The sequence below is a fragment of the Homo sapiens genome, chromosome 21, assembly GCF_000001405.40.
Source record: "Homo sapiens chromosome 21, GRCh38.p14 Primary Assembly".
Lineage (NCBI taxonomy): Eukaryota > Metazoa > Chordata > Mammalia > Primates > Hominidae > Homo > Homo sapiens.
Window position 1 is genome coordinate 41986831 of NC_000021.9, and position 24556 is coordinate 42011386.

Here is a 24556-nt window from a genome sequence, read left to right on the forward strand (position 1 = left end):
TCGAAGCAAAATACAGTACAAATTTATTGACTCCAATCATTCTTAGTCAACATTTAAGCAAACTGTAGACAATGGAATTGAATACAAATAAGCAATGGATTAACATTAGATAGAAATCCTATTTTACCATGAATTTTCAGTTCGAAAAAGCTTATTCCTAAGTAAAATGGAAAAATGACTTACTCTGCTAAGGCATATGACAAAATACACAGAATTATAAAACCATTCGTTTTTCTTTTAACCATAAGCATATATTCAATGGAAAACTTGAAATAGCCTTGGACTAATGTTCTGAAAACTAGTATTAACTGAGTATAACTGTGTGAAAAATCTGGACAGCATTAACAAATGAAAGAGCACTGAATTCTGTTATTTTAAAGATTTACAGTAAAATACTTTGGTTCCCAAAAGACTGTCTCTAAAAGGAATTTTTAAAAACACCTGACATTGTAACTCATTTTTTCTCCTCCAGAATCTAAACACCAATTTTGTCTTCTCCCCAGTCACATGGGAATGCCACAAGCTGGAGTACCCGCTGAGATACACTGAAAGAGCATATTAAAAATTACAAAAAATTAAACTTCTTAAAGTGCTAAAACCACAAAAAGCCATAAATGAAAACCTATTTTTTAAAACTTAAAGTTTAGTAGTCAGTGTTAAAGAACACTTTTAAAGAGTACGTGTCAGCATTATTTAAATCAATAATGCATTTCACAATTATTGCAGAAACATCACTGAGACATCGTAAATTGTCAAACTGACTTGTAATCCAGTTAGATACAATTTATACAGAAATCTATTTGGAATTATACCTAATTACTTTTTACTAAGAAACTTCAAATAATTTTACTTCCTGAAGTTCCAGATTACAGTTGTATACACACATGCATGCATGTGTGTACAAACCCAATTTGAGACAACAAAGGCCAACTTTAGATCTGTTAATTCTTCCATCTCTCCCTCACCCTGATCAGAGAGTTGGCCTTGTAGGTGCATCCACACCGCACCTCCGTGAACAGACACATTTTATTCCTGTTTCACAGCAGCTACTCTCATTAGCACCAATGGGACTACATATGGATTCAAACGGTCACTCATTAAGTGCTGGGGCACATTTTTACAGGCAAGGCTATAAACGTTCCATTCCAAACCAGAAAACCAAGAACATCACACATCTCCCCACAAATGCAAAGAACATCACTGTTGAATTGTTAGTTGTATATTCTGGTAAAATTATAAATGCATACTAACTAGTTTTAAAGGTGAATATTCTACAAATCTTCAAATATTACTGTTAAAATGCACAATATTTGTTACCTCCATTGCTTACTTTGAGTGATAAAAACATGTTTTATGTTACTCCTTCCTTCTCCCACATAAACGATTCAGTATCAAGTTCTCAGATTAACAAAGAATATATTAAAACATTTTACATTCTTTCCACAACTGCATAAAAAAGCAGGCATCCTGCATACTTACATGGAATAAAGAGCTTTCTACATTTTCAAAATTAATTACAATCCTAAAATATATTTACATGAATATCTTCACTAGCTAATGAGTTGCAACAATTTAAGACCAACTTGTTTTACACCAAGTATTTGCCTACTGGCTGAGATAAACATTCTTAAAAAACTTTACTGAATAAAGTAATTAACATATCTTTCATTATTTTACTTCTTAACATTTAAAATAGTTACATGAGTGGAAGCATATTTTTTTTGACCACCAAAATAAACTCTTTCAGCCTAATGCTTTTAAAGTACAGTATAAAAAGTAATAGAAAAACCAGAACGGCATTATAAATGTTTTTGGTTCAAAATTTTATTTGAAATCTTATATTCCTTGCTTAGACAAAAATGTGAAGACAAAACACCAGTCATTTTTAAAATCTAACAGATATGCAGAACCTATGTTTAGATCAAAAATATTTTTTTTTTTTACTGATTAACAATATTATTTTTAAAAAATCTTCGAAAATGTAGCATAAAGGTTTAGGTCCTGGGATACTGAATTTATAATGCCAAGATACTCTGTATCATGGAATTATCACCGATAGATACTCTAATGGCCATGTAGGTGATGATTACTCAGGGAAACTGTCTTCTTTTGAAGTGACAGCTACCAAGATGGACAGAGTAAGAAATACCACATTATACGCGGAATGAATTCAATGTACAATAATCCATCCTGATGTTTCATGTAAACCCATATGCTTTAGTTTTATCCTTAAAATGCATAGATTTCTTTAAGAAAACAAAGATGGCAAGAATCAATAACTGCAATTTATTTTCCCTTCTCCATCAAATTTAAGAAAGAATAGGAAGTTAACTACTAAAATATTGTGGAATTTTGGAGTTTTTTCAAGTGAAAGAATACAAGGCAAAATTTCATATATAATATCCATAATGTACAAAGTCAATCAGTATTTTATAAAAATGTCTGGTTCAATAAAAAAAATGAGAATATCTTTCCTACCACTGGTATGGAATGTTGGCAATAAGATTGATGGGTACAGAGTTATTTTCTGCTAGAGCACAAATCTAAAATTATTTCTTAATGACAGTAGTTGGCTTTTAAAAAAAATTTGAAAGAATACCTCGTAACACAAACTAGAGTCTAAATTGGTATTACTTTCTTAAAAGGATTTTGTAGTTTCGTTTTTTTAATACATCTAACTCCCACCCCCACAAGTAAAAGTTTTCCCTTTTGAAACACATTGAACTTTGGATATCCTACTGAAAGGCTTTCAATTACAAATTATACATAGTATTCTTTGAAAAGCCCAAAACCCATGGAGCAAAATAAGTAGCTAAAACTAATTTTGGACCACTGATAGTGCTCTAATACCTATTTTTGAAATATTAAGCAATGATGTAGAGAATGGCCTTGCCCATGATTTTAACCATCAGACCCCCAACAAATTCTAACAGAAATTGTCACAAGAGAGAGGCAGGAAAATGTATATGTCGTATATATTGTTCTTGGAAAGCATGTTGAAACTGCAGTGAGGTGTTTCTCCTCTGCTCTATCTGGAAGTAAATGGTAATTTAGAATTTTACATCAGCTGTGCTAATTCTTGAGTGTCTGGGATCTATGTAAATATATGTCCCGACCTTATTTGTTACACTAATGTTAAAATCAAAATTAGTGCCATATGGTTAGCTTTGTTTTTTGTCCTAACTACACTCAGATTTTCAATTTGTGACAGCATAAATCAGAGGAAATGAAATATGTGCAGTCCTTCAAATGCTGGTCTGAATTTAGACTGTGGTGCAGTGTACATGTAACATGGTACAAGTTTTTATAACAATGTCTATCACTACTGAAGCCCTTATAAACTGACTGTAGGGGACTTCCATAAATTGTTTTCATTTCCCAGGTCTTCCTTAGAGTTTAACTATCATTTATTATATTGACTGAGAGCAAGTTTTTGTTAGTTTATAAAAATCTAAGTGTTACTATTGCTGATTTAAATTTCTCACAATTTTCATACAAAAAGAAGTTTTACATGACCACAAAATACCAAATATTTATTTTTATCAAGTGTCAGGATAACTTATTAAAGTTGAGATTTATCTTTTATTGCTAAAGTAGTCTAAGATATAAATCAATACTGCAAACTACTCCACTTCTTCCTATTTTGGACTTAAGAACATGGTTAAGATTTAACTAGAACTCAAGTGTCTAAAATAATTAAAAGAAGGAATACTTCGACAGTATTCCACTAATCAATAAAAAACCAAAAACCTCAATTAAATGATTATACTGACACCATGGAATGAGGAACCATGCACACAATCAAGACTAATCCAATTTCAACATTAATGAAATCAAACCATCTTGTTCTTGTAAGGTCCAGAACCACAATATTTTAAAAGCTGTATTTCTAAAGTTAAGGACATTACTAAGTAATTATCAATTTGCCTCCAACTTAATTTCAAGCGTAACAATCTCCAACCTTTATTATTCTTGTTTAAAAAATATTTTGTTTCTTATGACACATTTCACAATTCAGGTTGAAATCTGGGGACTGCCTCCCATAGGTAAAAAGTGTTGGTCTTTCAATTGTGTGTTTGTTCGTGACTCCAAAGACTAAATGCAGTCTTGAATGTCCTGTGGCAAAGTTTACACATAAACTGTCTTTTAAATGTGATTGCTGAAAGGGGTGGGGCATGGTAAAAAAGGGTGTCTGATTCTTGGGGCACAAACAGTTTTTCTGTGGCTGGAGTTGGGTTTTCGGACAGGCCTGTGGGGCTGTCAGGCTCCAGAGGCTGGATCTTGGGCAGTGGTGGTGGCGGTGGCAGAGGTGGTGGAGAGGGAGAGTTTGTGGGAACAGGGCACACCTCAGATTCCTTATGTGCCGATTCCTCTGAAGCCTGAGACATGTGCGATTGGAAGTGACTCCAGAGTCGAAAATTAGTGCGAAAAGCTTTGTTGCACACGTGACAAATAAATGGTTTCACAGAGCACAGAAGCTCCTGGTGACGCTCCAGCTGCTTATGCACCGTGAACATCTTCCCACACTTCTCGCAGGGCCACAGGCTGGCTTCTTTGCTAGGACCCGCTTCTTTGGGGGCTGTGCTGGCCTCGGGTGCCTCTTCTTCAGCCTCCTCCACAGGCTCCTCTTTGACTTGGATTTTCAGTTGCTTGGAAAGACTAAGGTCTTCGGGAAGACAAGAGGAATCTTCCGAGTCGAAGTTAACTTGTTCTGAAGAATCACTGAACACGTTGTCGTCTTTTGTGGTGACGATGTGGTTTACTTTGTTGGGCTCAGGCTGGGATTGGGGCCTTGAAGAACCAGTCACATCACCATTGTGGTCCAAAACGGGCAAAGAAAAGTTTTCGGTGGGTGCCATGTTGTTCTGATTATGGACTTCAACCTGGTGCCGCCAGATGCTGAAAGAGGACTTGAAGGTGCGCATGCACTCGAGGCAGGTCAGCTTCTTATACTCACACTTGCTCTCGTGTTCTTGCTTCAGCTCGGGCGAGAAAAACCTGAGGCTGCAGTAAGGGCAGACGGCCGCGTTCCGGCACAGCCGCTCGTGGCTTCCTTGCTCTAGGAGAGAAGAGAGCTTAGCATTACAGAGGCGGCACTGGTAAACCTCCTTGTTTTCTACTGGACTTGCAAGAGGAGCATGCTCTTTTGGTTTAGCAACTTTATTTACTCCAAGGGGTTTTTCTCCTGGATGCATTTTTATATGCTGCTTAAATTGAGAGAGAAAGCGGTACGCTTTTCCGCAGTAAGTACAAATGTAAGCTCCTTTGGCTCGAGATCTCAAGTTCCTCTTGATGACTTGCTGTGCTTGGGAGCTACTCTGTCCCTGAAAACCAGGCTTGCCGCGCCTTAACTTAATGATCAGGGCCTTCTTAATTTCTCTCTCTCTCACTATGTCAATCAGCTTTCTTTGGAATTTTTCATCCAAAACAGCATGTGAACTAGAGGCTGGTGATGGGTTCTTCACTATGCCGTGTTGGGTCTGACAGTGTGTCCACACTTTGAAGTTGGTGTGAAACCTCTTGTGACAGATGTCACAAGCGTAGGGCTTTTCTGGGTTATGGTACATGTTAACATGACGGTGAAGACCTGCTGTTGATCTAAAGATCTTAAGGCAATGTTTGCATTTAAATTTTTTGTTTGGTCTCGTCCCCTCCAACTCACCAAATTCGTCTTTATTCAAATCAGAATCTGGAAAATCTGCATCAAGGAGAGTAGGGCTTGAGCCTTCCTCAAAATTATCTTCTGACACAGGAGACCCGTGCTCATTCACCTTTAACTTCTTAAACGGCAATCTTCGGTCCGCTTGGAACCTCCTTTTTGCTGGGAGTCTGCTCATGTCTTTTTGGTCATCTTCTGTTTTCAGAGACAGGTCTCTTGTGACCGACGAAGATGAGGCAGCTGCTGTTGTTGCCGCATCTCCCACAGTGACGCGGATGATGTCCGAGGGGTCCGACAGCGGGCTGCTGGGCTCAGTCTTTATGCGCACCTCAGTCACAGGGGAAGCTCCCTCCCTGTCTGTTGACTGAGAAGCACTAAAGGACCTGAGGCGATGCGGTTGTAGCACTTGAGGCCTGTCATCTAGGGCTGTTTTTTCACTACAATCTTTTAAAGATGACTTCTGAGATAAAGCACACAACACATTCCCTGGTGCATCACTGGACACCGAAGATGATCCCTGGGAAGATTTCAAATCTATGGAAGGTGAATAGACAGGAACCTGGCTATCCATCGACAATGACCGTCTGAGGAGACTCTTAACAAGTGGGCCACTCCTGTCAATGCTTTGGTTTCCAGAACCAGATCCACTGGATGGGATCACTAAGCCTAACTTTGAATAGTACAACAAGTTTCTATCTTCACCTTGACCATTTCCTTTGTTAGTTTCTTTTAATAGATAGGGAGTCTCTGATGAGCTACAAACAGACAAAACAGGTGGCCGTGGTCTCTTCAAAGCCAGCTCTAGAGCTTTTCCTTTTGGAAGCTGACCACTCACACCTGGTTTATCATCCATAGCTTCTCTGTCTTGCAGAGGCTTTGAAGGCAACACTGCATTTCTTTTCACCAAACTGATTCTATTAGGATCATCCAAAGATCCAGAATGCTCAAGAGACTTTGCATATACCACAGAACTATCTTTCGGCCAACTCTTTTCAGTTAATGACAAATTATGAAGTGGTTCTATTGGTTTTGGGACATGTGGCTTATTGGTATTGGCCTTGACTGCAATGCTAGGAGAGGGCCGGGAAGTATGGCTTACATCGGGTTGATTTTGACTAACAGTTTTTCCTTGCGCTTCGTTTCTACTTTGACAAACAATGACACTTCTCTTTTGAGAACTGTTTTCATCATCTTCTACAAACACTTTTTTTCTATTAGGACACGTTGGAAAGGGGGCTTGAGGTGTTTTAGAAACGATGTTAGTCAGAAAGGAAATCCCAAGACTATAGCCAAGTTCTTGCACAGCAGCAAGGCTGCTCTTCTCAACAAATAGAGAGGAAGAATAAATGTAGTTTAAAACATTATCAAAAGCATCTGGCTCACAGAAGTCAAGCTGAAATACAGTTTGTGACTCATTTTCCTTATTTGTGAATAAACTCTGAAAGTATTCGCTGCTGGCAGCCAAGACGTTTTTATGAGCTCGGAACTTTTGGTCTCCAACAATCAGCAGCACATCACACAGCTGTCCTTTGAGACGCTCCTCATTCAGGGCACTTAGGAGAGAAATGGCGTGTGCAGGGTTGATGTAATGCAGTAATCCCTCCATGGCTTGAGTTTATCTAAAAGACAAAATGTAAAATTACTACAGATATTGCAGTGAAAAGTTCCCCTGGCTCCTCAAGAGCAGGGAACATCAGCTGTCTTTGCATAGGTACCAATATTTAGCAGACCGTAGGCTAACAGAAGCTCTATGAATGAACAATCTTATTTAAATAATGGTGAAAATGTAAAATAAGTCTCGTGGTTTAAGTAGGTCCTCATTAAAATAGAAGAATTGCAGGAACTATAATATAGGCATTTGTATATCATCAAAAAGGCTGCCAGAACTTGGCAGGTAGATATGGAAGCAATATTTGAAAATAAAGGTTTATTATTTAGGGTCCTTATCCATTTGATGCTTGGCACTATTCCTTACCAATTCAGAAAACAAGTACGAATTATCAAACCCCTGAAGTCTATAATTCTGAAAGAAAATCAGCTTTATTACTACATATACTTAAACATAATGTGAACTGTTAACAATTGGTTGCAAAGCAGGTCTTGTGAGACCCTTGTTTTTATTTTGAGACAGGGTATCTCTCTGTCACCCAGGCTGGAGTGCAGTGGCACCATGATGGCTCACTGCAGCCTCAATCTCCTGGGCTCAAGCAATCCTCCCACTCAGCCTCCTGAGTAGCTGGGACCACAAGCACATGCCACCTTGCCAGGTGATGCGGTTTGGTGGTGTCCCCACCCAAATCTCCTCTTGAATTGTAACTCCCACAATTCCCACGTCGTGGGAGGGACCCAGTGGGAGGTAACTGAATCATGGGGGTGGGTCTTTCTCGTTCTCTTCTCATGATAGTAAGCCTCATGAGATCTGATGATTTTATAAAGAGGAGTTCCCCTACACAAGTTCTCTCTTCCCTGCTGCCATGTGAGATGTGACTTGCTCCTCCTTGCCTTCCACCACGATTAAAAGGCCTCCCCAACCACGTGGAACTGTGAGTCCACTGAACCGCTTTTTCTTGTAAGTTACCCAGTCTTGGGTATGTCTTTATTAGAAGTGTGAAAATGGACTAATACAGTAAATTGATACCAGTAGAGTGGGGCACTGCTGAAAAGATACCCGAAAATGTGGAAGCGACTTTGGAACTGGGTAACAGGCAGAGGCTGGAACAGTTTAGAGGACTCAGAAGAAGACAGGAAAATGTGGGAAACTTTGGAACTCCCTAGAGACTTGCTGAATGGCTTTGACCATAATGCCAATAATGATACAGACAATGAAATCCAGGCTGAGGTAGTCTCAGATGGAGATGAGGAACTTGTTGGGAACTGAAGCAAAGGTGACTCGTTATGTTTTAGCAAAGAGACTGGTGGCATGTTGCCCCTGCCCTAGAGATCTATGGAACTTTCAACTTGAGAGAGATGATTTAGGGTATCTGGCAGAAGGAATTTCTAGGCAGCAAAGCATTCAAGAGGTTCTCAGGTGCTGTTAGAGGCATTAAGTTTTATAAGGGAAGTAGAGAATAAAAGCTTGGAGAAGTTGCTGCCTGACAGTGCGATAGAAAAGAAAATCCCATTTTCTGAGAAGAAATTCAAACTGGCTGCAGGAATTTGCCTAAGTAAGGAGGAGCCGAATGTTAGTCACCCAGACAATGGGGAAAATGTCTCCAGGACATGTCAGACCTTTGCAGCAGCCCCTTCCATCACAGGCCCAGAGGTCTAGGAGGAAAAAATGGTTTTGTGGGCCAGGCCCAGGGCCCCCTTTCTGTGTGCAGCCTAGGAACTTGGTGCCCTGTGTCCCAGGTGCTCTAGCCATGGCTGAAAGGGGCCAAGGTACAGCTTGGGCCATGGCTTCAGATGGTGCAAGCTCCAAGCCTTGGCGGCTTCCATGTGGTGTTAAGCCTGCAGGTGTGCAGAAGTAAAGAACTGAGGTTTGGGAACCTCCGCCTAGATTTCAGAGGATGTATGAGAACACCTGTATATCCAGGAAGAAGTCTGCTGCAGGGCTGTGTCCCCTCCATGAGGGGCAGGGCCCCATGGAGAAACTTCTGCTAGGGCAATGCAGAAGGGAAATGTGGGGTTGAAGCCCCCACATAGAGTCCCCACTGGGGCACTGCCTAGTGGAGATGTGAGAAGAGGGCTACCATCTTCCAGACTCCAGAATGGTAGATACGTCGACAGCTGGCACTGCGTGCCTGCAAAACTCACAGACACTCAATGCCAGCCCATAAAAGCAGCCAGGAGTGGGGGCTATACCCTGCAAAGCCACAGGGGCAGAGCTGCCTAAGACCATGGGAGCCCACCTCTTATATCAGCTTGACCTGGATGTGAGACATGGAGTCAAGGGAGATCATTTTGGAGCTTTGAGATTTGACTGTCCTGCTGAATTCTGGACTTGCACCGGGGCCTGTAAGCCTCTGTTTTGGCCAATTTCTCCCATTTGGAACGGCTGTAGTTACCCAATGCCTGTACCCCCACTGTATCTGGGAAGTAACTAACTTGTTTTTGACTTTGCAGGCTCATAGGCGGAAGGGATTTGCTTTGTCTCAGAAGAGACTTTGGTCTGTGGACTTTTGAGTTAATGCTGAAATTAGTTAAGACTTTGGGGGACTGTTGGGAACGCATGATTGGTTTTGAAATGTGAAGACATGAGATTTGGGAGGGGCCCAGGGTGGAATGATACAGTTTGGCTGTGTCCCCAGCAAAATCTCATTTTGAATTGTAGCTCTCACAATTCCCCACATCTGGGAGGCACCCAGTGGGAAGTAACTGGATCATGGGGGCAGGTCTTTCTTATGCTCTTCTTGTGATAGTGAATAAATCTCAGGAGAGCTGATGGTTTCATAACGAGGAGTTCCCCTGCACAAGTTCTCTCTTCCCTGCCACCATGTGAGATGTGCCCTGCACTCCTTGCCTTCTGCCATAATTACACAGCCTCCCCAGTCACATGGACCTGTGAGTCCACTGAACCTCTTTTTCTTTGTTAGTTACCCAGTCTCAGGTATGTCTTTATTAGCATTGTGAAAATGGACTAATTACACCTGGGTAATTTTTTTTATTTTTTATTTTTAGAAATGGGGCCTCACTATGTTGCTCAGGCTGGTCTCCAACTCGTGGGCTCAAGAGATCCTCCTGCTTCAGCCTCCCCAAGTGTTGGGATTACAGGCATGAACCACTGAGCCTGGCCAAGAGACCTTTAAAAATAGAAAAGAATTTGGAAAGCAAAAAATTATTTGCTAATTACTAATGAAAGTGTTTACGCCAGGCACGGTGGCTCACGCTTGTAATCCCAGCACTTTGGGAGGCCAAAGCGGGCAGGTCACTTGAGGTCAGGAGTTCGAGACAAGCCTGGCCAACATGGTGAAATTCCATCTCTACTAAAAATACAAAAATTAGCCGAGGGTGGTGGCATGTGCCTGTAATCCCAGCTACTCAGGAGGCTGAAGCATGACAATCACTTAAGCCTGGGAAGTGGAGGTTGTAGTGAGCCAAGATTGCGCCACTGCACTCCAGCCTGGTTGACAGAGCAAGACGTTGTCTCAAAAAAAAAAAAAACAAAAAAACAAAAAAACAAAAAAAAGATTAGAAGTGTTGAAGAATAAGTTTGTTTTCTTTCTTATGCTATTTGCCTTGCAATCTCATGAATACTATTTTCTTACCAAATCACATTTTCAACAATAGCACAAAGGAAACTTTAGCCTAGTTCTAAATTTAATTAAAGAGTTTAAACTGATATTTCACTGAAATGCTCTTCAAATCTAAACATGAGAAGAGGAGGCCTAGTGGTAGAGTGCAAGCTCTGGTGCCAGACACTTGGGTTGAGATGCCAGTTCCTTGCAGGCTGGCTGATTGTCCTTGGGTGTTTCTGTTAGCCTCTCGGTGTGGCAGATCCCTCACCTGAGTTAGGAATGACAACTGTGCCCTCCTCTTGCAGGGTTGTTGCAAAGAGTTCATCTAAAGAAAACTCAACAAATGTGCACTTAACTTTCAGAAATTGCAGGATTAATAGGCATCTAATTCAGTATCAAAGAAAGTGGGCAGATTAACCCCACCATACTCTCGATGCAGACAAAGCCATTTCATGCAGAGACAATGCCTGACTCTGTGTATTTGACCCTTTATTTAGGCTTCTGTTCCTCTAACACCTCATCCTTTTCATTTTTTTTTTTTTTTTCTAGACAGGGTCTCGCTCTGTTGCCCAGGCTGGAGTGCAATGACTCAGTCTTGGCTCCCTGCAACCTCTGCCTCCTGGGTTCAAACGATTCTCCTGCCTCAGCCTCCTGAGTAGCTGGGATTACAGGCGTGCACCACCACGCCCAGCTAATTTTTGTATTTTTATATAGTTGGGGTTTCACCATATTAGCCAGACTGGTCCCGAACTCCTGACCTCACGTGATCTGCCTGCCTCGGCCTCCCAAAGTGCTGGGATTACAGGTGTGAGCCACCACAGCTGGCTCATCCCTTTCATTTTATAATGCCATATTTTCTTTCAAATATTGTTAAGACATTTATTTTTAAGATTACATGAATCCCAAGTAACTATCTGTGACGGTTTTATCTTTCTCTAGCGGGCAAACTGTAGATGAACCAAACTTGACCCCAGCTCATTTGTAGGTTCTCTTCTGGCCTTTGCTGGTTACCCCAGCCACCAGGCTCTTCAGGAAGAGCCCAGAGTCTCCTAGGCTGTCAACCTGGGAGTGGCCACACACGGTATACAATTCCTTCTGACTCCCTGATAAGATGCGACTCAATTTAACCGACTGAGACACAGGACTTTGCTTCTAGAGATGATGCCTTTAGCCTGTCCACAAACAACTACTTTGGTCAGACTGTACCAAGTTTCTGTCCACTCCCGCCTACCATCCTTTCAAAGTAAATGGTAAATTTTAATTCCTCTATTTTTTTAAAAAATTATTCTATTTGTGACTACTTGATAATTTCCCTTCCTTTTTCTTCTCTTAGTCATTTAAATTTTCCTTAATCCTACTATACTTTCTTTACATCTATTTGTATGAAGAAACCCTTACCATCTTTTACAGAGATCAGCAGAAAAAGACATAAGCTTATAATGTTACACGTATTGACTCAGCTGGGTACTGAGGAGTTTTTAGCACTAATAATTTTTGACAAAGCTAGTTCAGATGTTGCCACAGGGAAAAGCTGTAACACAGAATTAAAGGTACAGATTTAAAGGCTTGGATAGTCTTTGTCAAAAGGGGTTCTTAAACTCAACTTGGTGGTTTAAAACTAGCAATTAAAAAATAAATGACTAGGACAGAGTAGAAAATATCAGAATGCATCAAATGTCATAAGGCTAATTATGAGCTTGAGAAACTTTTGTTTCTATTATATATATGTACATACCCACATAAGCAAGCATGGACTGGATTGAGATGTAAAATGTATTCCTTCCTGTGGGTCAGTCAAAATATTTTGAGAGCCACTGTTCTAGGCTAACCAACCTCTTTGAGCCTCAGTTTACCTCGCCATAAAATAAGGATAATACTAGCAGCTACCACATAATGCTATTGTGGGAATTAAATAAGATAATAATAGTCGCTACCATTTATATAGCACCTAACTGTACAGGAACCTACACTACAAACTATACCAGAAACTTCTCATGTCATTCATTCATCAAAATGGGATCAAAGAAGGTGTGAAGGAGGCGAGGGATGAGCCATGGAGATAAATGGAGGAAGAACATCACAACAAAGGGAGAAGCTAAGGCAACAGGAGGGATGGAGCAGTGTGTGCTGGGAGCCATGTAAGATGACATCTGAGAGGCAATAAGAAGTAAGACCGTCTAGGGCTGGGAGACCTCCAGAAGAACTTTATTTTTTACTATGGATGAAATGGACAGCCATTGAAGATTCTGAGCAGAGGAATGACAAAGACCTGAATTACATTTCCAAAGGATTGCTCTGGCTCTGTTGTTGAGATTAGACAACAGAGGGTAGGTTATGGGGGAAGCTGCGGGCCAGCTTGCAGTCCACTGTAATGACCCAGATGAGAGAGGATGGTGGCTGGGACCAGGGTGGTAGCAACGGAGGTAAAGGCAGAGTCATTAGAATTTCTAGTGGACAGACTGCAGGAGAAAACAGAAGGTGTGGAGTTAAGTATTCTGCCAAAATAACTGGAAGGGCATCCTTAGGAGAGATGGGGTTTGACAGAAAAACCAGGAGTTCAGATTTTTTAAAGAATTCAGTTTTGATATCCTACACGTGAGCAGCAACCTGTTCATCAATGTACCCTTTATGAGCCTCCATCTCCGCCTTACTGTCCCTACTTCCTTTCTTGTGCTTCCTGGGATCAGTTCCCAAATAAACGTCTACCTCTGAATCCTTGTCTTGGGGTCTACTTTTGGGGGAATCCAAACTAAGACACAAACAGAACTCGAAGCACAGGTAACGGCTAACCACTTCACACTAAAACCTCCCTTCCAAGGGCTTGTCCTGGCCCTTTAGTGTGAAGACTAAACCAAGGGGAGTTTTCTACATCCCTGGACCTGAAGCAAATGGTATTCCACAGACCGTATGCATCCCGTTGCCAAAAAAGCAACATTTGTGTCCCTTTTGTTTAGAAAGGTTTCCTTCTTTATGCATTATTCAAAGTATCATGATCCCTATTTCTGCTCTAAGTCACTGCTTCAAATTTCTTGGATCACAGACCTCTATCTTCTTTGGATGAAAACATCTATGGACTAGGGGACAATAATAAAGTCATTCAAAGTTAAGTTGTAAGAGAAATACTCACTGTCCCTGAAAATTATTGGGGATTTAAAACTTAACTTTCCTATAACCTCCATTTAGAGCCATCACACCTGCCTGAAAAGTGCCTCAAGATGTCCAAATTCCTGATACACAAGTGCAGAATAACTTTATAGAGTATTTATTTTCCATTCCATTCAGTAGAACAGTAACTAGGTACTTAATAACAGCTAAAATTTGGGTGTTTATTCTGTCACATACACAAAAATAAAGAAGTTATTTTTATGTATTAACTCAATATTTACATCAACCATAGGAGGTAGGTACTATTATTATCCCCATTTTACAGATGAGAAAACTGAGGCACAGACGGTCAAGTAACATGCTCAACGTCATAGAGATAAGTAGCAGAGCAGGATTCACATCAGCTGGCTTGGATCCAGAGGCTAAGCTCTTAACCCCTACACGACACTGCCTCTAGTTTCCTCTTCCAATTCTCGTATCATCTTCTGAACTAGACAGTGTCATCAATCCTTTTTACAAACAAATGAGAAAACTGAGGCATTGAGAGGTCAAGTCATTTGCCTAAGGTCACCCAGACAATTATAGACTTATGGCTAGCATCTGTCTAGTGTGTGCTAGAACCCTTCTAGACATGGAAGATATCAATTTAACAAGTATGGCCCTGCCTCATGGAGCTTAAGGTCTTGTGCAGGAAGAGAACAGGTCAATTCATCAGCCTAGTCCAGTATGCTGAGCAGCAGACAGGATGTTTGCAGAGGTAGAGACGCAGTATAGATGACAGGCATCAGAGCCAGGTGAGATGGAGGCCAGGAAGGGCGTTCTACGAAGAAAGTTTTATAGGGAATGCTGGGAAGAGATAGGAAGGATGAAGGACATTTCGAGGGACGAGTATTTATTTTCCATTCCTTTCAGTAGAACAGTAACTAGGTACTCAATAACAGCTATAATTTGGGTGCTTATTCTGCCACACACACAAAAGAAAACACTTTTAATGTATTAACTCAATATTGACATCAACCCTAGGAGTTAGGTACTATTATTATCTCCATTCTACAGATGAGAAAACCGAGGCACAGAGGGTTAAGTAACATGCTCAATGTCAGACAGATAATAAGTAGCAGGGCAAGATTCACATCAGCTGGCTGGGCTGCAGTACATGCAACACTACAGAGACAAGACAGAGCAGGAGGAATCCAAGGGAACCACAGGTGGCTTTGCCTGGTGAAAGGTAAAGGTACACATAGGGGAGGAAATGCCCATGAGGCTGGAGGAAGATGGAGGCATGAGCGCCCTGGGGGCTAAAATATGTCATCTGAGGATCTTGCACAGGAAAGCAACATTGTCCATTCTCCCCAGTACCCCAGGATCTAGAGACTCTAGATGTCTAGATAGGAGACAGGGGTAGCTAGGAGATGCAGATCCCTCACCTTCACATTAAGGCCCTTGTTTTTTTTACATTTTAATTCAATTATTAAGTTTTGAAAACAATGTACCCTTTCCTAGTCTGGCTGCAGACAGACAATTAACATATTGAATTTTTGTGTTTTAATGACAGTCAGTATATTTGAGTTTAACAATTACCTAAAAATATAAAATGCTCCATCCATCAAGAATGTAAGTAAAAAGGGGGAAAATCACAACTGCTGACGATCACGAGATAATCCAGCAAGACTGTTTGTGGCTGGTGGCTGTGTACACCGAATCCTCAAAAACTTTTGATTTCTCTGCTCTTCTGCTGTCAGATAAGGCGAGCTTTGTTGCCGGGTGTACTTTCTCCTCAGTGTATTTTTCAGATCTAGACCGATAAGTTTGCTGGCACATCACTCCAAATTTCCATGCAGGTTTTCATTATGAGTAATCAGGGCCTCCGACTTACAGAAGCAGTGCATCTTACACATAAACACGCACTGCTGCCACCACCGTCTACGCCCCTCCTTTCCACGGCTCATCTCCACCTGACTCATCACGGCAGAACTTCTGCCACTTCAGTCATGGTGGAAAAACCTTGGAGCTCTTAAAAGACCAGTGGGTGAAATTTGGAGAAAAGGTCTATTTACGAGCAACAGAAAAAACTAAGAGGAAAACCCCCCAGGAAAACCAGTTTCTAAAATAGGGCCGGCTTGCTTACCACTTTGATCCTCGCACACAAATAGCTTCCCAAAGCCTTCCTGGATTGTTTCTACTTCATGTCTTCTGAAATTTCAAAATGAGAGAATCTTTATGGTTAACAATTCACAGAAGACCTTACAGTTCCATGGAAAAGCCTTTCGAATCAGTCTATTTGTCTCAAATCCTGGCTCCGCCACCTATTAGGCATGGAACCTTCTAAAGATGACTCAACCTTTCTGACTAGTTTCCTTACCTGTTAAACATGGCTAACACTACCCACCACATAGGATTTTTATGAAGGACAGAAGAGGCAACATGTTTGAAAGCCCCAGTACGTTCAGCACTTCCCATGTGGCACATGCACATCTTCCTTCCTTCTCCACTTCCCCTCACAGATGCTTGCGTGGGCCTGCTACCCACCACACATCACAAGAGGTGCTGGTGATGGGGAGATGAGTAACTGGCCTGCTTCTTGTTCTCCTGTAGCTCACATTTCCATGTTAGGACAGACAATAATTAACAAAGGATGTGAAGAATGCTACGGGAATACTGATTCCAGGAAGCAATTAATTTGGCCAGGGTGTAGGAGGGTGGAAGAGTGAATAGTGGGAACTATTCACTATTAACTATGAGTGAATAGTCCTAAGGAAGGCTTGGGACTCATCACTCCTTTGACAATTATAATACAAGCTGAATATCTCTAGTCCAAAAACCCAAAACTACTTTCTGAGCAACGACATGATGCACAAAGGAAAGGCTCATTAGAGCATTTTGGACTTTTGGATTAGGGACGCTGAACCACTGGGTATAATGAGAATATTTCAAAATCCCAAACAATCTGAAATCTGAAACACTTCTGGTCCCAAGCATTTCAGATAAGGGATAGTCAACCTCTAATACTAAAGGTTCCATTCTTTACATTTCTACTATAGACGCTTTTCAGAAATGCTCATCTGGCCTTGCTGGGGCTTAAAACCTTCCAAGGGCTTGCCCTGGCCTCAACTTCCAATTCCCTGGAATGGCTACAAAACCCTTCAGAACTGGATTCCAGAAGATTATTTCATACCATCACTTCAAATTCCTCAGGTAATAAATGCTAAGGGGGTGGGGGACTCATATCTCACATCTTTTTTTTTTTTTTTTGAAGAGTCTCACTCTGTCACCCAGGCTGGAGTGCAGTGGCATGATCTTGGCTCACTGCAACCTCCGCCTCCTGGGTTCAAGCAATTCTCCTGTCTCAGCCTCCTGAGTAGCTGGGACTACAGGCGCCAGCCACCAGGACTGGCTAATTTTTGTATTTTTAGTAGAAATGGGGTTTCACCATATTGGTCAGGCCGGTCTCGAACTCCTGACCTCAGGCGATCTGCCCACCTCGGTCTCCCAAAGTGCTGGGATTACAGGCCAGCCACCTGTAAGATATGAGCCACCGCGCCCGGCCTCATATCTTAACATAAATTAATTCAATGCAAATACTTTCCTCTTTATAGAGTGTTAAATCAGTTGTATGGAATTAAGATTTTTGAGGGAGAGGGAAGGTAGGCAATTTCGAATATAGAGCATTCTAGTGAGAAGCAGAGGAAAGCAAAGCGACTTGGCACTCAGAAGGGTACCAGGGGGTGAGTGAGGGGGTGAGAAACAGAGATGGAAAGGGATCAAAATAATCTCACCTACTTGGACTAGTGTCATAGCTAAGGTACACTATAAATTAAGTTGGCTCCCAGACTAGCCACAAAACTGCTACTACCAGTTCTACAGGAAAATGGCTCTTTACATCCAGCATCAACCTAGATTTCAACTCTGGGAACATGGGTCCTTTGGAATGTTGGGGATTGCTTCTATAGTCCTAACCATGATACTAGAAAAAAGAGGGAATGCATGTAACACAAGGCAAATACCTAGTTAAAAAAACAAAGCATCTACATTTGACTTTGGAACATAAACACACACACACAGACTGCTTATCCCCAAACCCTCATTTCAGGATTTAGCCGTAACACCTACCATTGGATTTTACTATTTGATGGTGATAGGAAGTTGCCTCTGAGTTTCGGTCTTATCATCACTCACTTGGTGACAACGCAAATATCCTCAGATTTCAAACCTAGACTAGCTTATCCAATCCTTCAAGAGGAGTCATGTTACTATCTTGTATTCCATTTCACCACACTTTCAGTCTCTAACAAGGGGGTTTGATTTTGGTTTGATGGTTGTTCTTGGCCACATTCAGGAGAATGATCCTACTCCAACATAGTTCAAGCTCCTTTGCACCTTAGCAGAGCAGACTCTGGTCACAGCCTTTGCTGTTTTCTTCCAGCCACTACACAGCCATTCCACCTCCTGTTAACAGCCCCATGATTTTGCTATAGAAGAACTGCTCTTGTCCCACTGTGTGCTACAGCCTGATGTGCTCCTCTCCCCTACCTCTGGGCTAACCATACAACCAAAGCCAAACCAATCAGAAACTTTGTCCTCGGAATATGAATCCTGAGAAGAATGACAAAGGCAATAAATAAATGAAGCTGACTTATCTCAACGGAGGCCTGAAAATGCAACCTTGCTAGTGCCTGCTACATAGATTCCTGGAGTTAGCTTGGTTTTTGTCCTTCTTCCTGGCCCAGTTTTTTAGCTTTTCTTTTAAGTCCAAGAGCAACCCTGTATCTTTACAATAAACTACTTTTTCCATTCAAGCCAGACAGTTTCTGTTCTTGTTATTAAAGAACCCTAATATATTTCCACGTGGTATTCACTGTTCCTTGTCATGCCTTCCAAACCCATCCTAATACAGCTTCTAGACTGAGCTTCTTAGAACAAAGCTTTGATCGCTCACCCAACATACACGTTAAATATTCCTATTATTAATTCAACTTATTTACTGAATTCCAATTCTGTACAAGGCATGGTTAGATTTATCTGAAATATAGGGGTGCACCAAACAGACAAGACCCCCACTTTCTAGTGAGATAAATCAGATGCTAAGGAAACAAATAAAAAAGACAACCTCAGATTCTGCTAAAAGTTATGGTGGAAATAAATAAGGTGCTATATCGCTGGATGCAGTGCCTAGAGAGGATGGTCAGAAAATACCTTGATGGAATATTTCAGCTGAGACCTAAGATCTGAATGAAGAGAACCAGCTTTGATCCTGTTTAAAAATAAAATAATAAAAACAATTGTTCTCCATTAGGCTAAAATTTTTAAAACAATGACTAAAGGTCTCTATAAAATCTGGTTTCAAATGACTTTTAAAATTTTCTTAGCCAGGTGTGGTGGCTCATGCCTGTAATCCCAGCACTTTGGGAAGCCAAGGCGGGTGGATCACCTGAGGTCAGGAGTTCGAGACCAGCCTGGCCAACATGGTAATACCCTGTCTCTACTAAAAATACGAAAATTAGCCGGGTGTGGTGACGGGCGCCTGTAATCCCAGCTACTCGAGAGGCTGAGGCAGGAGAATCGCTTGAACCTGGGAGGTGAAGGATGCAGTGAGCTGAGATCGTGCCACTACACTCCAGTCACCACTGGGTGACAGCTGAGCCAGAGCGAAACTCCGTCTCAAAAAAAAAAAAAAAATTTTTTTTTCTTTCCCTTAGTTATTCCCTAGTGATCCCTTTCTGCTCCAGATACTCTGTCTCTAAGACCTAACCTGCACATCTGACTTCTCCCACTCCCCAATCTGGAAAGTCCTAGAACTCACCTAAACCCCTCCTCAGCACACTACTCAGAATATTAATCACCTTTCAAAGCTCAGGTCAAGTTCCAGCTACTCCATAAAATCTTCCATTATGGGTTGAATTGTGTCCCCACTCTTCCCTCCCAAATTTATATGATAAAGACTTAGCCTCCAGTACCTGGAGAATGTAGTCATACTTGGAGACATGGTCTCTAAGAGGTAATTAAGTTAAAATGAGGGCTTTAGGGTGACCCCTAAACTGATGTAACTGGTGTTCTTACAGGAGAGGAAGATTAGCACAGAGACATGAACAGAGGAAGGACCAAGTAGGGACAAGAAGATGCCATCTATAAGCCAAAGAGAAGCCTCAGAAGAAGCCAACCCTGCTGACACCTTGTTCTTGGACTTCTAGCTTTCAGAACTGTGGGAAAAGAAATCTGTTGAGTCATCCAGTCTGCAGTACTTTGTTATAGCAGCCCAAGCAAATGAATATACCTTCCTTGACTACTTCATCTTATAACGTGCAAATACCTCAACTTCAGCACCATTTACATGTTTATTCACTGCCTTTATTGTTAGTCATTTGTGTCTCCCCAAGAGGACTGAAAGCTATTTAAAGACTGATAATCTATTTAATATCTTTTGGCATTATCAATGCTCAACATGTTATCTTCCACAACAATAAAGATTTGACTTTTCTGTACTCTTCACTCCAATTAAATGCACGAGTGAAAATTATGGCTGTTAGTTGTTTTGCTGAAGTAAAGCGTATTACATCACTGCCCTGCTTTGGAGTACTGTACTGATTTTTCTATTCCTAAAGAAAATCCAAACTACAGACTGGCATACAAGACTTTTCATACTCTGGTTACAATTCATCTCTCCACCCTTATTGGACACTACTTACCATCTACTCTACAAACTTGCATATCCAGCCTCTGCCACCCAAAATCTCTCTCTTCCCTCTCCTTTACTTGGCTAACTTCTTTCGAAAGATCCAGTTGAAATGTCACCGACTCTACAAAGCTTTTGTAATTTGCCCCTAGCCAGCAGCTCAGTCATCTAAACTACCACAATACTTCATCTCTCTGTAATAACACCACAACTTCTTCAATTAATCTTCTTTTACATGTGTCTCCCCCAAGGGACTCCCTAAAGAAAGAACCCTTGTTTGCATGCACGTATCCCTGATGCCCAGCACAAGGCCTGGCAAGCTAGGTACAGGGCAAAGAGAGAAATCATCAAACTTGAGGCTCAAGACCTGGACTGGCTCACCTTTATTTCTCCAGCATCCGTTACAGAGCCCCAAAACGTGGCAGTATTCTTTGCTTTTTCTATTAGACCTTGTGACTTTAATCACTACTGGACGATGATTCCCAAATCTGTATCTCTGTTTAGACTCTTGAGGCTCCAGCCTCTCAGGTACCTACTGAACGGTTCCATCACAGTATATCCTCAGGTCCAGCATGGTACTTAAACTCCACAACTCTCGTCCCTGCTCCCACATCTGTTTGTCCTCACATATTCCCGATTTACTTTGGTGTGTTGCCAGACCCTAAAATTTCTTCTCTTTCCCTTATAGCCTATCACTGTGACCTGGTCAAACCTAGCTCTTACATAGCTTATAATCTGCTCTCTCTACTTCCATTGGCTTTGCGGACAACTAAAACTGTCCCTTCGGCTGGGCGCAGTGGCTCATGCCTGTAATCCCAGCACTTTGGGAGACCAAGTGGGGTGGATCACGAGGTCAGGAGATCTCAAGGCCATCCTGGTCAACAGGATGAAACCCCGTCTCTACAAAAAAAAAAAAAAAAAAAAAAAAAATTAGCTGGGCGATGTGGCGGAAGCCTGTAATCCCGGCTACTCAGGAGGCTGAGGCAGGAGAATCGCTTGAACCAGGGAGGCGGAGGTTGCAAAACCAGGGAGGCGGAGGTTGCAGTGAGCCAAGATCACGCCATTGTACTCCAGCCTGGGGCAACAAGAGTGAAACTCTGTCAAAAAAAAAAAAAAAAAAAAAAGAAAAAAAGAAAAGAAAAGAAAAAATTGTCCCTTTAATTATCTCATTTCCATCGAGAGACCTTCTTAACTTAACCCCAATTTTGTTATTTACAATTTTTCCTTCAGAGTGTACACATCTAATATTCAACAGTGTAAGTTCCTCGAGGGCAGGGGTTATATCTTCTTCAACTTCTATTTCAACAGAATGAAGCACATTATACTTTCAATAAAGTGTTAAAAAGGAAAAATAAACAAAAAGTTACTTTTAAGTAAACCAGCACTTCAAATTTTGACTTTCTTTTTAACATCAATATTTAGGGGTGCTTAAATTTAAACTTAATGACTACTAGTCCTTAGAGATCATCATTTACTCCAAGTACACGAGGAAAGCTTTAAAAGATAATTTTCCATGAGAAATCTTTCTAAAATGGATTAACCCACTTTCTTGTCTTCTTAAACAAGGTATGAGGACCGTAATGTAAGCTGCTTAATTGAGGACTCAGGGTCATCGTGTGAACAATCGCTGGACTATTTTGTAACACACGCGTGCCCTCGGAGGCTCGGTGCCAGGGCTGTGAGCGCTTGCACGAAAGGAAAAACCCCAGGCCGTGTGAAGTCTAACTTTCCCCGTCCTCTCGGTCAGGCAATCCCACCGGGGCACCTGTCTAAAAACACCCCGCCTCCGAACGCGCGCTCTTGCGGAATTCTCCCGAACCGCAGAGCCCTCGTGGCTGGGACCGCATAGCAACCGGGGGCAGAGTGCGAGCCCCCAGCGGTGTGCTGGGATGGAAAAGCAGGAGCCGCTGAGGATGGACTACGGGGCGTGTTCCCGAAAAGCCGGGAAGAGATGTGGCGGGGCTGCCGCGGGCGTCTCTAAGGCCGGCACGGGTGGCGTCTTGACTCCCTGCCCCTCCAGCCGCGGACCTCGGACGGGGGGAAGGGGGCTCCTCCAAGCGGGGAGACGGTCGCCGGCCGAGCAGCAGGGCTCCTGGCCGGCGGAGGGTGCTATGCTCTGCGGGACCGCCGGGAAGTCCCAGACAAGGTCTGCGGGGGCTCTGGAGGAAAAAAAACGCGCTGTGAGGTCCAGGCGTCCGCGGGAGGGGCCGGGGGCGGGGAGGGAGCGTCCAGCGGGCACCGAGCGGTCACGCTCCGGCCACCGGGCCGAGGACGGGGCGGCGGGGCTAGGTCCCGGACCGTGAAGGGAGCGGCGGGTCGCGGCAGGTGCGGGGTCCCCAAGGCCGCCGGCCAGCTTCCGCGCACACCCCGCGGCCCGGGCCGCCGGCCCCCAACCCCTGCCCGGAACAGGAGAACGCGCCCTTCTCCACGAGGCGTTTCAACCGCTCCGCGCGAGGGGCGCGCGCCTGGGCCAGGCGTGTCCCCTACCCCAGGGGCAGCTCGGCCAGGGTGAAGAGTGAAGCCCGTGAGGGAATGGAGCATGCGCATTCGCGAGGGCGAGGCCAAGTGCTGGCAGGGAGCGTGCGCAGTGTGAAGGTACAATCGGCTACGTGGGAACCCGGGACATGCTCGGTGAGCGCCCAGGTCCCGCGCACGCGCAGAAGCGCTCGGAGCCCGCAACCCGCTGGTGGAGAAAAAAGAGGAGAGAAATCACCTCAGAGTTACGTCAGGAAAGGCCGCGTTTTGCGGGGAGGCTGTAGCCTCCCAAGGAGCCCCGCAGTTCTCCTAGAGCTAGGGGCGTGACAGTTACTCACCGGTCTTCAGTCTCGAGGCAGACGCCGGGCCCCTTTCCGCTCACACTCGGCTCGCGCGCGCCGCAGCCGCCGCTGCCGCTGTGATTCCATCCATCTTGAATTTGACGTCATCCCACACCAGGGATGAGGTCATCGCAGGCATCGCTCGTCACGTGCGCGGCACTCTGATTGGGCGCCGGGCGCCGGAGGGCGGGGCGGGGGGGGGGCCTCGCGGCGCAGGGGGACGGGGGAGGGCGGGCCTGCCCGGAGCCGCGCGCCGAACGGACGCTGCCGCGCTGCAAGCCCGCGCTCTCGGTCCATGAGGGGAGCCTGCGGCGGCCGTTAGGGGAGGCGGCCGGGCTGGGGGCCACGGCGAGGAGGCTGAGCGCCCCGGCCGGGTGGAGTCCGTCGCGGCGAGGAGCGCGCCGATTCTCAGGGGACTTTGCCGCCTGCCGGAGGCGCCCTTGCTGCGGGGTCGCCCCGGGTCATTCGGCCGCGGTCCTGCCCAGCTGGGCCGCCAGTAGTCCCCGCTTCCGGCGCGGCGGGATGCGTGGCGCGAGCGCTTAGTCCCTCGGAGGGGAGGACGCGCTCCCGTTCACCGGTGGACGGCGGGCGACTCCCCGAGCCGACGACCCCGACAGCGACGGGAGCGACGCGCGGCTTTCTGACGGGCGCGGGCGGCGAGCGGGGCCCTGCGGTCCTCGGGTCGGCGGCAGACGCTCCCGGCCCGCGAGGAAAGCCCGCGGGAGGCGGCTCCTGCCGCTCGCTAGTCGCTCAGAGCGCTTCCATTTCCTCCTCCCGACGCAACCTGGCCACCTGGCCCCTGGGCGGGGACCCGGCGGCCGCGGCCAGGGCGTCCGGGCTCGTTCGCCGCGCAGATGGGGGTCGGTCCTGACCCCCGCCGGGGCGTCCACAGCGGCCCGCAGGCAGCCGGAGACTTCGCATAGTGCCCGGCTCATCGGAGGGCTGTGATCTTTTTTTTTTTTGCAGAAATATTACAACTCCACTGATGAGAAAACTCACTTCGCTTTCAGTCAAAACCAGAAATTAGATAACAGAAATGCCACACTGTCAACACCGACCGGGAGGAAAGCCTCGCTGGCGGAGACCGCTCAAGGGAGCCCTCCGCGCGTTCTCCCAGCCCGGGTCGCAGGTG

At 44.0% G+C, this 24556-nt stretch overlaps 1 protein-coding gene and 1 long non-coding RNA gene across 21 annotated transcripts in view, besides 4 other annotated features; one reads left to right on the forward strand and one right to left on the reverse strand.

Moving 5' to 3' along the window:
- On the reverse strand, positions 1-23530 carry ZBTB21 (zinc finger and BTB domain containing 21). Of its 20 annotated transcripts, XM_047440795.1 has the most exons (6): positions 23422-23530; positions 22637-22767; positions 16067-16131; positions 15520-15733; positions 5663-7278; positions 1-5059 (listed from the first exon to the last, which is right to left on the reverse strand). In XM_047440795.1, the coding sequence occupies exons 5-6, from the start codon at positions 7263-7265 to the stop codon at positions 4065-4067; spliced, it is 2598 nt and encodes an 865-aa protein (XP_047296751.1). In that variant the 5' UTR covers positions 7266-7278; positions 15520-15733; positions 16067-16131; positions 22637-22767; positions 23422-23530; the 3' UTR covers positions 1-4064. The 20 variants fall into 20 exon arrangements, with proteins under 20 accessions (XP_047296751.1, XP_047296749.1, XP_047296750.1 ...); XM_047440793.1 differs by lacking the exon at positions 22637-22767; XM_047440794.1 differs by lacking the exon at positions 15520-15733.
- Positions 8789-8991: a silencer, noted in NCBI's record as "fragment chr21:43415728-43415930 (GRCh37/hg19 assembly coordinates)". NCBI's record gives its function as "represses an EF-1alpha promoter that drives an FKBP-Casp9 reporter gene in an ReSE screen in HepG2 liver carcinoma cells {active_cell/tissue: HepG2}" and the evidence as "EXISTENCE:reporter gene assay evidence [ECO:0000049][PMID:32094911]".
- The window catches only part of ZNF295-AS1 (ZNF295 antisense RNA 1), a 15727-nt gene continuing 13534 nt past the window's right edge, over positions 22364-24556 (forward strand). The window contains exon 1 of the long non-coding RNA NR_119384.1: positions 22364-22754. This is a non-coding gene — a long non-coding RNA (ZNF295 antisense RNA 1). The remainder of the gene's footprint in view (positions 22755-24556) is intronic.
- Positions 22703-22812: a silencer, noted in NCBI's record as "silent region_13335". NCBI's record gives its function as "represses an Ori minimal core promoter by ATAC-STARR-seq in GM12878 lymphoblastoid cells {active_cell/tissue: GM12878}" and the evidence as "EXISTENCE:reporter gene assay evidence [ECO:0000049][PMID:35858748]".
- Positions 22853-23162: a silencer, noted in NCBI's record as "silent region_13336". NCBI's record gives its function as "represses an Ori minimal core promoter by ATAC-STARR-seq in GM12878 lymphoblastoid cells {active_cell/tissue: GM12878}" and the evidence as "EXISTENCE:reporter gene assay evidence [ECO:0000049][PMID:35858748]".
- Positions 23603-24342: a silencer, noted in NCBI's record as "silent region_13337". NCBI's record gives its function as "represses an Ori minimal core promoter by ATAC-STARR-seq in GM12878 lymphoblastoid cells {active_cell/tissue: GM12878}" and the evidence as "EXISTENCE:reporter gene assay evidence [ECO:0000049][PMID:35858748]".